This window comes from Homo sapiens, chromosome 4, assembly GCF_000001405.40.
Source record: "Homo sapiens chromosome 4, GRCh38.p14 Primary Assembly".
In the NCBI taxonomy this organism is placed as follows: Eukaryota; Metazoa; Chordata; class Mammalia; order Primates; family Hominidae; genus Homo; species Homo sapiens.
This window is the reverse complement of record NC_000004.12, coordinates 186,409,037-186,422,092: the sequence shown is the minus strand read 5'-3', so window position 1 is coordinate 186,422,092 and position 13,056 is coordinate 186,409,037. Positions and strand designations below refer to the sequence as shown.

At 42.4% G+C, this 13,056-nt stretch overlaps 1 long non-coding RNA gene across 2 annotated transcripts in view; it reads left to right on the top strand.

Moving 5' to 3' along the window:
- F11-AS1 (F11 antisense RNA 1) overlaps positions 1–13,056 on the top strand; it is a 214,961-nt gene that overhangs the window by 78,966 nt on the left and 122,939 nt on the right. Inside the window, exon 7 of one of the 2 annotated variants that reach the window (NR_033901.2) lies at positions 5,757–6,045. The exons of the other annotated variant lie outside the window; for it this stretch is intronic. This is a non-coding gene — a long non-coding RNA (F11 antisense RNA 1). Of the gene's footprint in view, positions 1–5,756; positions 6,046–13,056 lie in introns of those variants that run through there. 2 annotated transcript variants of the gene reach the window in all.

The following is a 13,056-nucleotide window of genomic DNA, read 5'->3' as shown; positions in this document are numbered from 1 at the left end:
GGCGTGGTGGCTCACACCTGTAATCCCAGCACTTTGGGAGGCCAAGGCAGGAGGATCACTTGAGGTCAGGAGTTCAAGACCAGCCTAGCCAACATGGCGAAACTGTGTCTCTACTAAAATACACAAAATAGCCAGGCGTAGTGGTGGGCACCTGTAATCCCAGCTAGCTACGCGGGAGGCTGAGGCAGGAGAATCACTTGAACCCAGGAGGCGGAGGTTGCAGTGAGCCAAGATCACATCACTGCCCTCCAGCCTGGATGACAAAGCCAGACTCCATCTCAAAAAAAAAAAAAAAAAAAAAAGAATAATTGGCAGAGATTTTTATAGGATGAATAAAATGCATTCTAAATCAATACCTAAATCATAGATTGGAAGGTCAGAACAAATCACAAATGGCTTGGATATCATCTTCTACTTTGTTTTATTTGTTTGAGACAGGGTCTCGCTCTGTTGCCCAGGCTAGAGTGCAGTGGCGTGATCCCGGCTCACTGCAATCTCTGCCTTCTGGACTCCAGTGATCCTCCCACCTCAGCTTCTCCGGTAGCTGGGACTACAGGCAAGCATCACCATGTCTGGCTAATTTTTCTTTTTCTTTTTTTTTTTTTTTTTTGGTAGAGGCTGGGTCTCACTATGTTGCCCAGGCTGGCCTCAAACTCCTGGGCTCAAGCAATCCTCCCACCTTGGCCTCCCAAAGTGCTGGGATTACAGGTGTAGGCCCTGCCTCAGCTCCTACCTTGAAGGACAGCATGTTCAAGTAAGTAACAATGTATTCAGAGCCCTCTCTGGAAGAGAAATCACTGCTTTTATGAAACCTGAGTTTTCATTCTGATTTATTAGATACCACCCCAACTTAACATTGAAAGAAATGCTTATCTTTTCCTACACAAGAGCAAACTTGGAGATGAAATCAGGTCATGTGTTGTTTTATTTGCCCCATGCTTAGTTTATCACTTCCTGGAAATTTTTTTCCATGCATGTGTATGTTGAGCATTGGCCCATGCAGAAGAGGACGGTGTCTTTTTTGCTTCAAGAAGGTCCTTTTCTGCAACTTTAAAAGTATTTAAAGCAGAGGTGTGCAGCCACCGTGGAGGCCTGGTCCTCAGAAGACGGGGCCAGTCCCTGCAGCAACAGCAAAAACAGGAGAAATCTGCCGGGGAGGCTGAAGCCCTGGAACAATACTTAACATATAATGGATTTGAGCCGCTGGGTAGCAAATGAAATTGAAAATTTCTGTGGATTATGCTGCTTCTGCATCTGCTTTTTGGACAAAGATACTGTCATTTTCCATCCTATGATTTGACATTTAATTAAACTGAATGTTACCCTCATATTTGCACCATGCTGGGAGCACTGCAATTAGTTCTTCAAGAATTGTCCTACAGCTAGACAGATGTTCCCTGACTTACCGTGGTTTGACTTAATTTTTTGACTTTACGGTGCTGCCAAAGTGATACACATTCAGTAGAAACCATACTTCCACTTTTGACTTTTGATCTTTTCCGGGGCTGGGGACGTGCTGTCCAATACTCCCTCCTGCTGCTGGGCAGGGGCAGCGAGCCGCAGCTTCCAGGCAGCCCCATGACCATCGGGGTAACAGCCAATACTGCACAGTGGACTGTATTGCCTGCAGTTTTTTGGATATCGTGTTTTCCCATCTCTTCATTTCTACAGACACTCCTCTGTGTTTCCTGCTTCTGATGAGAAGAAGACAATTATTCTTGAGATGAAACTCAAGATAACTTCCCGGCATGAAGCTGCAAACAGTAATGGCCATTGCACATGAGTCAGGACTTCTGCATTTCACCATCTTGACCATCTTATCCTTTAAAGGCATTTTCAACTTATCGTATTTTCAACCTACAATGGATTTCTTGGGATGTAACCCCATTGTAAGTCGAGGAGCATCTCTGTATAGTATATTAACCAAAAGCTGATTCCCACAGAAAATATTTCCAATAAGTCAAATTAAAACATTTCGAAGTGGATTTACACTATGAGCATTGCTGCATAAATCATCATCTCTCCCTTTCTCCTCTTGGAAATCGTAAAAGGAAAACCTCCATTTTGAGCAAAACTAGGAGATAGATGTATTCCCTCTAGTACAAAATGCATGCACAGGATACTAGAAACAGCTAAGATCCTGCAGAAGCATGCAAGCAAGATTGAAGAGTAAAATAATGAAGAGCTGAAGGTGAGCTAAATTGTAGCAGATCTTTGGAAAAGTTCAGAAAAACACATTTCCCGAAAATGATGGAAACATACAGCTGAACTGAAACATACAGCTAAATTCCTTGTTAGTAACAATGGATGGAGAAACAGAGTATAAGGGAGAAGGCTTCTTGAACTTGGCTTAGCTCAAAGTGTTAGAGGAAATGAGATATCAAAAAAGAAGGAGAGAGAGGGAAATACAATAACTGGCCACACTTGCAGGAATCTAACTGTTTCTATGGCAGCAGAGGGCAGAATCTTTTACAGTAAAAATCTGAGGGTTCCCTTGACCCCTCCTTTATATACGAAATTTCCACAAATTCTAAGTCATTCAATGATGGGGAAAAAAAGCAATAGCAGGTAGGAAGGAGCTGGGGCATCACTGATATAAGATACTACATGACAAATTTTGAAGAAAAGCAACAAAATTTCAATAGAGGAATAACACTCACCAGAAACACGTTGCCACAGCACAGATTTTTAAAGTGACTGTTTCTCTATGATAAAAAAAAACTTAATAAATAACCTCTATGCAGGAGAATCACAAATCAGATATTTGAGAACTTAAGGAAATGATGACTAAATAACAGTAGAGAAAACATGAGCTTAGAGAACTCAGAATTATTATTTAAGAAAAAAGGAAAAGAAAATGAAATCAAAAGGAGCACTAGGAAGAACAGAAATTGAAGACGCACAAATGGATAGAGACGCCAGATGAGAAAAGTAAATTCAATGAAATGGGAACAAAGGAAAAATTAAAAGGACTAGGGAGAAAAGATGATCAGAAATCAGATGAGAGTTGTGATACACAAAAAATTAAAATCCTACAGAAAAAAATAACAACGATTATTTACATGTTAATTCAAAAAATGTTCCTGAAATTAAAAACAAGCAACATACTGAAAGGCATACTATGCCCTAGGAAAATAGAACTAGAATCGTAAACGCTGAAATGGATTCTAGTACAATCATTGTGCTTTGAAGATAAAGAATTTCGAAGTCAGCACGACCAAAGCGACAACAACATAAAAAAATGAAAAAAAAAGAAAAGAAAATTACTTGCAAGGCAGGTAAAAGATTAGCCTCTAGTTTCCTCTTGGCAAAATTTAACTAAAAGGTAGCAAAGCAACACCAGCAAAATACTGAAAAGAGGAAAGTTGAAGGCAAACTGTCCTTTTGTGTAAAAATGTCAGTAAAACACTGGGCACGGTGGCTCACACCTGTAATCCCAGCACTTTGGAAGGTTGAGGCGGCTAGATCACCTGAGGTCAGGAGTTTAAGACCAGCCTGACCAACATGGTGAAACCCCGTCTCTACTAAAAATACAAAAAAAATTAGTTGGGCGTGGTGGCAGGTGCCTGTAATCCCAGCTACTAGGAAGGCTGAGGCAGGAGAATCGCTTGAACCTGGGAGACGGAGGTTGCAGTGAGCTGAGATTGCGCCATTGCATTCCAGCCTGGGCAATAAGAGTGAAACTCCGTCTCAAAAAAAAAAAAAAAAAAAAAAAGTCAGTAAAACACCATTAAACCATTAAACATGCATTAAGATAGAAAATACTGTTCTCATGGGCTCTTCCTTTAGGAAACTATTGGAGAATAAATTTCAGCCAACCAAGAGACGACAAAGGGAACTATGACAAAAGGATTTGTGAAAATCATTAAATATATTCTTGGTAGAAATAAGACAAACAAATGTCACTCATAAAGCAAAACCCTGAGCTATGTAAAAGAGAGACTTCTAAAATAAAGTAATTCAGAAATGTTGAAAATGAAAAGATAGCTAAGGCTATGCATGGCTCTGCAGAAGGAAAGCAGGGAACACAGTATTACCACCAGCCTAGGCAGAACTCATGCCAAAAGCCACTGTCATTTTTTATTGAATCTAAAATACCATTGATTGTATGATTTATCATTACTTTGTTTCATTAAAACAATGTAGGTGGTCAGCTAAATTGTGATAAAGTGCTTTATCACCCAGGATTTTTACTTTATACTTACTGAGATAGGTAGACTTATTAAGACAAAGATTTTAAAAAATGATGTATCACTATTGTACATTCATGAAGAGGAATATATCAGTAAAACACATTGGTTTATGGCTTCCAGAAATTCTCCAGTGACAGTTCATTTGAATCTATTGTTAACTCAAATTCATTAATGTCCATAATTTTCTGCATGATGTCAGCCTCTGTGCCACCAGGAGCACGGGCAGCATGATGTCGGCCTCTGTGCCATCAGGAGCACGGGCAGCATGATGTCGGCCTCTGTGCCACCAGGAGCACGGGCAGCATGATGTCGGCCTCTGTGCCACCAGGAGCACGGGCAGCATGATGTCGGCCTCTGTGCCATCAGGAGCACGGGCAGCATGATGTCGGCCTCTGTGCCATCAGGAGCACGGGCAGCATGATGTCGGCCTCTGTGCCACCAGGAGCACGGGCAGCATGATGTCGGCCTCTGTGCCACCAGGAGCATGGGCAGCATGATGTCGGCCTCTGTGCCACCAGGAGCATGGGCAGCATGATGTCGGCCTCTGTGCCATCAGGAGCACGGGCAGCATGATGTCGGCCTCTGTGCCATCAGGAGCATGGGCAGGGCAGCATTTCCTAAGCCTTCCATGATTGATTTCAGAATCTTCTTCCAAGCCATTGATTCCTGTGCAAATCAGCGAATCATTGGCACATGTGGATGGGGTAATGTTAGGAGAGTTTCATAAGGGAGCTATTTGCATAGGTATGGACAGGGTATAGAGTTCACTAGCTCAGGTGGTGGGAAGCCCCTACCACTGCTAGCCTGAAGGGTCCACAGGGAAGCTGGGGCCTCCCCCTGTCCTGGTGGTGCCACCACCAGGAAAGAGTCCCATTGTCAGGAGCTTCCCTACCCAGCCCCCCTTGATGCATGCCACCCTGTGGCAGGAGCCAGGGGGAGAACACCCAGCTTCCTTCTCTGTCTCCTGTGGGGGTGCCCTGCTGGCTGAACAGAACTCAAAGCCAGAAAGTGAAGGAGCCCATTAATCAATGCAGTCCCTCCAGGATCCTCCGGGTCTGAGACGTGACTGTCAGAACCAGCCCCTGTGAAACTGTGGTGATTGGCGATTGGCTTCTTCTGCCCATTTCCCATCCTCCTGCTGTCACAGCCTCCCACTGTGCTAGAATTTATTTGCCTACTTGTGTGTTTCCTCTTCAAGACTGTGGACAGGGCTTGCTTCCAGCTTAATTCTGCATCCCGAGGGCACAGCAAGGACTCTGCAAAGCCTTTGGCATTATGGGCTGGCCCTCAGTGCCTGGGTTTCCTGCTGGCAGATTTTGATTTAGTAATACTGAGTGAAGCTCAAACACCTGAGTGCTATTACAGTCACTTCACACTGATGCCAAGGTTCTGTAAAAATTTGAAAACCACTGGAATAAATAATCCATTTACGGGCAAAGGGTGCCAGAATGTGCACCCCAAAATATGTCACTTTGGCATAAGGATTATTTTGAGTTAGAAACACTTGAAAAACAGCAGATAGAAGAAGTGCATGTCATTCTCCCCTTTTCTCCTCAAAAACAGGAGATAAAAACATTCCTGTGAAAGATGCCCTTCCCTGCACCGGGAGAAAAGAAGCATTCTGCGACCAGGAGCCATAGCGAAGATAATTCTGTAGAAACAGACCGTGGTAAAATAATGCCTATCTTCCTGCAGCCTCCCCACGTAATTTAGTTACTTTTCCACAGCTGCTTCTTTTTGCTCAACCTAATATCAAAGCAGTTAGGTATTGCCATTTCTTTGGGTCTTCATTTTCTTATTCAGGCTCCTGTGCCATGTAAAACCTCTATTAAATTTGTATGATTTTCTCCTGATAACCTACCTATGTCAACTTCACTCTCAGATCCAGCCAGGAACTAAGAAGGCAGAGGTAGAGTCTCACTTCTCCTCTACAGGTGATTGTAATATTATTATAGGCTGCTTGGGCTCTCAAACCGCTAAATACTAAATCTAGAAGTATTGTTATTTTTTAGACAGATTCTCACTCTGTTGCCCAGGCTGGAGTGCAGTGGTGCCACCGCAGCTCGCTGCAACCTCTGCCTCCCAGTTTCAAGTGTTTCTCCTGCCTCAGACTCCCAAGTAGCTGGGATTACAGGCATGCCACCATGACCAGCTAATTTTTGTATTTTTAATAGAGGGGGTTTCACTATGTTGGCCAGGCTGGTCTCCAACTCCTGGCCTCAAGAGATTGGCCAGCCTTGGCCTCCCAAAATGCTGGGATTATAGGTGTGAGCCACCGCACCCAGCCTAAATCAAGAAATATTAATTGAAGGAACCCAACAGAACTACTGGGGAAAGGGAGAAGAAGCGCCTTTATTCCCTGATCTTTTAGTTTATAGGAGGAGGGTTTTCCCCTAAAGCATCCTGTTTATTTTGCCCAGGTTGAGGGTGTAACTTATTTGATATTGGATTTGGGGAATGTATTAGTCTGTTCTCACACTGCTATAAAGAAATGCCTGAGACTGAGTAATGTTTAAAGAAAGGAGGTTTAACTGGATTACAGCTCTGCAGGCTGTACAGGAAGCATGGCTGGGGAGGCCTCAGGAAACTTACGATCATGGTGGAAGATGAAGGGGAAGCAAGCACATCTTCACATGGCTGGAAGAGAGGAGGGGGAAGAGAGACGGAGGAAGTGCTACACTTTTAAACAACCAGATCTTGTGAGAACTCACTCACTGTCACAAGAACAGTGAGGGGAAAATCCACCCCCATGAACCAGTCACCCCCCACCAGGCCCCTCCTCCAACACTGAGACATGAGAGTTTTCTATTTTACAGAGACGAGATTTGGGTGGGGACACAAACCCAAACCCTGTCACGGGGGAAAGCCCCTTCTTTCCTGCTGAGAGCACCCTGGTTTTCTGCTTTGCTCTCCCAGCTCTCTAACTTAGGGTCGCAGACCTATGGTTGGTCAGCATTGCCTCTGAATGGTGGGCAAGCCTGTCTTACCCCAGAATTCAGGGATAGGGAGTTACTGTGCCCTAGAATCAAGCCACAGTCTCAACAGCCCTGTCAGTGATAAAAGCTGAACTTATCTCCACTGGCTGGAATCTTTTGTGAATCCCTCAGCTGGTTCAGAATTCACATGGGTGAAGCATGTCTTCTCCCTTCCCTGCCTCCCACCTCCCTCCCTTCCTTTCCTTAGGGTCAAAGGGCTCAGTTAATCTATCACAGCACTAGGTCTATGGCATATCAGCAGCAGCAGATTATACAAGGACTCTTTCTAACTTTATTTCTCAGTCATTGCCCCCCCATCCCAACCAAACTCTTACTACTTTATATAAATCCAGAATGATCTGTACTTTGCCCTCTTCAAAGTGGGAATTTTAAGTTAAGCGCACACCAGATTGCACCTGCTTCCTTTTACAAAGGTGTGTACCTTAGTATCTCAGATGATTAGCACTTGCTCTGAGCTGTAGCAGGCAGCAGATTTCCTCCAGGTCACTTTTCAAGCATTTAAATTAAGTTACTTATATTTTGGTTCATTAATGACCATCGAGACCCATTCTATATGCCTGCTGTAAAATTGTATATTTAAAGTCACTTCTTGTGAATTTAGGCTTAACGCTGGGTGCAGATGCAATAGCTTTAATTTCCTAACTTGAGATGAGAGAAAGCAATCCTTCTTTCGAAGATGTAATTTTACTCACCTTTGAGTCTCTCCATGCTTGTCTCACCAAGATCTACACCACTGCCCTCCCCCACAAGCCATACTCATCAGCACTGGTCAACCATGCCCTTCCATGGTTACTTTCTACAGGTCAGGCTCAAGGGACTGTGGCCTTGTCCATCCTAACACGTCCTATGCATGAAGTTAGATGTTACTTATCAGGTTCACAGAAAGACCACACTGTATGTGTGTTTACAACAGCTCATTTGTTCTCCCTTCTCCCTCTCCCCTCGGGGGACAAACCAGCTGAACACACATCCCGGCTCTGAAGGTCCTGGAATGGAAGGAAGCCATGTCCCTGTCTATACCCAGTGGTGTGTCTTCCAGGATGGATGTGGAGGCACTGGCTTCTCCTTGAACACAGCTTCCCTGGTTAGGGCCCTGGGTTAATCATCATATTCTGAGTAGGGGGACAGGTAGGTTGGGAGAGATGGCGCTGGGTGCCCAGACAGAAATATGCAGACTGCAAAGGGCCATGGCTCCCAAGTGCCGCAGGGGTCCCTGTTTTCACAGTCCCATCCTCCCACGTTTCTCTTCAGATGGCTTCATAGAGCCCAGAGCTCCTCTATACAAAGTGTGATCATTCCCAGTGGATTTCTTCGCTCCATAGCTTTATCATTGGAGATCTGGTTGATCCTGACGTAGCGCTCAAGAAAGCACTAAATCTGAAACGTTTAAAAACCAATTCACGTCTCCTGAGAACGATGTTGTATAACACAATTTTTTTCTTTCCTTTTGATCCCAAAAGAAGAAAATCATGACAATATTCTTTCATAAATCCATTATTACACTATTACTATGACAGGATATTGTATGTGGGAAATAATGAAGCCATTTGCCGTCTCTTCCCCAGTTTCCTTTAGAGTTTCTGTGCTGAGCAAACCTCCCTGCGAAGTTAATCAGATGCTGGACTTCTTCCCTCAATCACACCAGTTGCCCAGGGAGAGAGACACTTACAGGACACTCCCTTCTGCCTATTCAAGTAGTGCCCCTTCTACTATTTAAAAATTTGTGTGGCTAACATGGTGAAACCCCGTCTCTACTAAAAAATACAAAAAAAAAAAAAAATTAGCTAGGCATGGTGGCGGGCGCCTGTAATCCCAGCTACTCGGGAGGCTGAGGGAGGAGAATGGCATGAACCTGGACGGCAGAGGTTGCAGTGAGCCGAGATCGCGCCACTGCACTCCAGCCTGGGAGACAGAGCAAGACTCTGTCAAAAAAAAAAAAAAAAGAATTTGTGAGTGCACAGTCATCTTCAAAGGGAGAATGAAATGCACAAGAGAAAAGAAGGAGAAATGAGTAGCTTGTTTTAGCACTTTAGCCTGATGTTCAGTTGTGTCAAATAAAGAAGCCTCTTAGAGAGTCACATGGCAGGTGCTTCACAAGCTGAAAGGGTAACCACTCCAGAGATCCTCAGCCACCTTTTATGAGGCTCGGGCAAGCACGAACATCATATTTCAGTTCAGTTGGATGTATCAATCATTAGATCTATTTCTAGAACTTAAAGGTGCTCCAATCCAAGAGCAGCATGTCACCTCAAAAGCAAAGCACCACAAATTACAGCAATAGTAGGAAACATATTTGAATACACTGATTAATGTCAATGTGTTCACTGTAGTTTTTCCAATCTATACTTCACTAAATGTGCATATTTGAAAGCCCTGAGGGACTATGATTACCCCAAAACCCTGGTGTTGTTAAAGTATTTGATGTCAGAAAAAATTAAATTCCTAGGATTCCTATATTCAAATTATTATGTAACTGTTTGAAAACATTATCTTCAATAAACTTCTATATCTATGTTTTCACAATGTTTAATATTTTAAATAATGCTTATAATGTTCAGCTGATCTTCAGGACTCTTAGATAAGTAAGTTACTATGTGGGTGATGCTAACTAGAGGAAGTAGAATGGAAGAAATCTAGGTTGTAATAAATCTTTCTACTTTTAATTTTCTCTTATTCTTTGTCTACATGTGCATGTTTGACAAAGGAAACACTTAGATGATTCAACCCTCTCAGACCAAAACAAAAACAAAACCCAAAACCCCCAAAGTTGGAAGCTGTTTGGTTCAGATCATATAGAAATTTTAAATTTCTACATAAAATATAATCTTAGCTACAGTTCAGGAAAAGCAAAGAGAAAGCTAAATCTGCTTTCGGAGATATGTAACCAAACAACATGAGAAAATGGAATTTTTTGAATAAATTCCCAGTTTGGAGAATATAATTCTTTTTTTCTCTATGACAATTTGCAATATGAGTTTAAGACAGCATTTAATAATTTCTGGAAAACAATCTGAATTTTTACCCAAGCGGTGATTTGGCAGAGTAAATGGCAATTCATCAAGACCTCCAACCGCAGTCCCAGAAGTCCCATTTGAAGTCAGGGAGGACAAGCTCCACCCTCAACTCAACACCTTCCTTTATCAGCCCGCCAACCCTTAGGGAAAACACGGCTGTGAGATGGATTCTTCACTGGTGTGTTTTTCTAACGTGAAAATACGTATCTTGGAAAGAAGTGGAATCAGGGATGGGGTATCCTTACAAATCAGACCTCCCCACCCTAATCTCTTTCTCACCCTATTCCATTTGTTGTAAACTGCCTTCCGCTCATGCTGAACTCTTCTCTGTTTCCCAGACATCCAAAGCCCTTTCAAGAGGCCACAAGTGCTGAGAATCCCTCCCACCGCCAACGTCCCTCTGCCATTGTCTTGCCTTGCTGGCCTACTTCTTTTCAAATTAGGAGACCCAGATCAAAATCTCATCTCTTTGGTGAAACCTTTCCTGATTACCCATTTAGAGTTCATTATTCCTTCCCTTGGCTTTCAACTGCCATATACAATGCATATATTTTTATATTTCTATAACAACGCATATGCCATGTTGCTTTTTTTACATGTGAGTCTTCTCCACTATGCTATGATCAACTCAAGGTTATTATTTGCCTATTTAACTTCAGTAACTAGCAAACTTGGGGCATGGAACATCCACCAGAATTTATATTAAATGAAAGGATAAATGGTTTTGCAACTGGTATGCAGACAATGCATGAATTGTAATCAAATTTCAGCTTTATTATACATTTGTTCTTTTACTTTGATAAGCGTTATCTAAAAGGAGACACAACTCCTTTGCTGCTGGATGAAATCTCATGGCAGGCCCCATGAATTCTCTATTTTAATGTAATAGACTGGCTGGGTTTAGTAACTTGGCTGTCCAGAGGTTCTAGATCTTTTATTTGGGGTTAGGATGGGTTAAAGAAAACTTTGATACTTGAGGAAAGTTATATGATGTTCTCATTCTTAAAGAACAATAACAAATTTACAGAATTATTGCAAATACAGCACAGAGAAAATTTTTCCTGAACCATTTGGGAGCAAATTGCTGACCTCATGACCCATCAGCGCTCAACACTTCAGTCTGTATTTCCTAAAAACAAGCATATTCTCCTCTGTACCTAAAAATGCCAATACAACCATCAAAATCAGGAAATTAACACTGAAACTTTTAGCTTCTGCTTTAGCAAAGTAATCCAGATCAGAAGCATGCTTCATGTCTCTTTAGCCTTTAAGTTTGGAGTAATTCCCCCGTCTTGTTTCTTGACTTTCACATTTGAAGATTACAGTTATTTCACTGTATCCCCCCGTTTGTCTTCTCTGATGTTTCTGCGTGATTAGGTTCTGGCTCTGGTCTCTGCCTGGATGCTGTGTTCTCATGTGTGCATCCTGTCGGTTGGCACAGAACTAACGAGAGTCATTTCATCACTTGATTAACTGCCCTTTGTAATTAATATGTATTCTGTAGTACAGTACATCAAGATTGTATAAATACCCCATTCCTCACCAAATTTTCAATGTATTAATTTATTTTTATTTAAAATAATTTTTTATTTAAATAACTCTTAGTTTCCTATTTTATTCAATGGATTATGGTTTATTACTACTATTATTTATTTTAATGATCAAATTATCTCCAATTTGCCAGGTAGGAGTGCATTAAAGCTGGCTTCTCTTTTTTTTTTTTTTTAACATGTCTCTGACATTTTTTGAGAACTTCTTTATCTTCTGACACAAAGAATTCCAGCCTCATCTTGGACTTCCTTGCTCCATTCTTGGAATCAGCCATTTCTCCAAGAAGGTCTGGTTTCTGTTAGTTGAGAATATTATTTAGAAGCAAGACCTGGATGTTAGGCGTGCTCGCTGATGTTGGGGTGACACTGCTCCCAGATGCTCTCAATGCAGGGATCTAGAAAATATCTATAAGTATACAGACAGTTACATCTATGTGTATCTGTCCATCTGAGGCTTGAGTTCACACTGATATCTCCAGTTCCAATCCAACATCATCAGTTTATTCGAGTCATCTTCTTTTCCATATTTGTAACTCCCTCTATTGTAATACAACAATCCTTGTATTAAGAATCATTAAAAATAGGTTTGCTTATTTGATCAATTCTCCTGTATATAATCAATCTCTCACCTCCTGCACTGAATTGTTCAGGAAGGAAAGTGATGAGAAGAGAAAGAGGAATTCTACATCCTTGCATCTCCATTTAAAGTACAACTTCCCTTTCGTCTATGCTCAGGCTGGAAATGGGTGGTCACCGGCCTCTGGTTAAGACAGAGAGGGAAGAGAAAGGAAGCCTGTTGGCTTACACCATCCCTCCTCCCTCATTTCCTCCCCTATCACTATCTAGTGGTTTTATGGCTGCCTACATCGAAGTGGGGAAGGCAAGGTGGTGAGGAAGAGAGAAGATGATAAGACATTTCTTTATCTGTCTGTGTCTTCATCATCCTTGCGGCTGGTAGATGGTTAAATCTTCTCTCCCACAGATGTGTTGGGGATGGTTAGAAGATTCCTCATGTGTTCCCTCCAATGGCAATTCCTATGACACTGGGGACAGTCCTTTCTTTGCATTACCTCCAGCACCCTCAGTTCAACTCCTGCAGCATCCTACCCTTAACAGAATCTCAGTATTGGGGTCTTCTCGCTCTTTGCAGAAATTCCCTTGGGAAAAACCCAGAATGCTCCATCTCTCTAGTTTTGTTGTCATTCATATTTGGTCCCCAGACGTATGTCTTGGATCAGTAAGTCCTGGGAGAGGAAAATGTCCACGGAGCTGTGTGGAGTGGGCACATTTTTCACCATCTGTG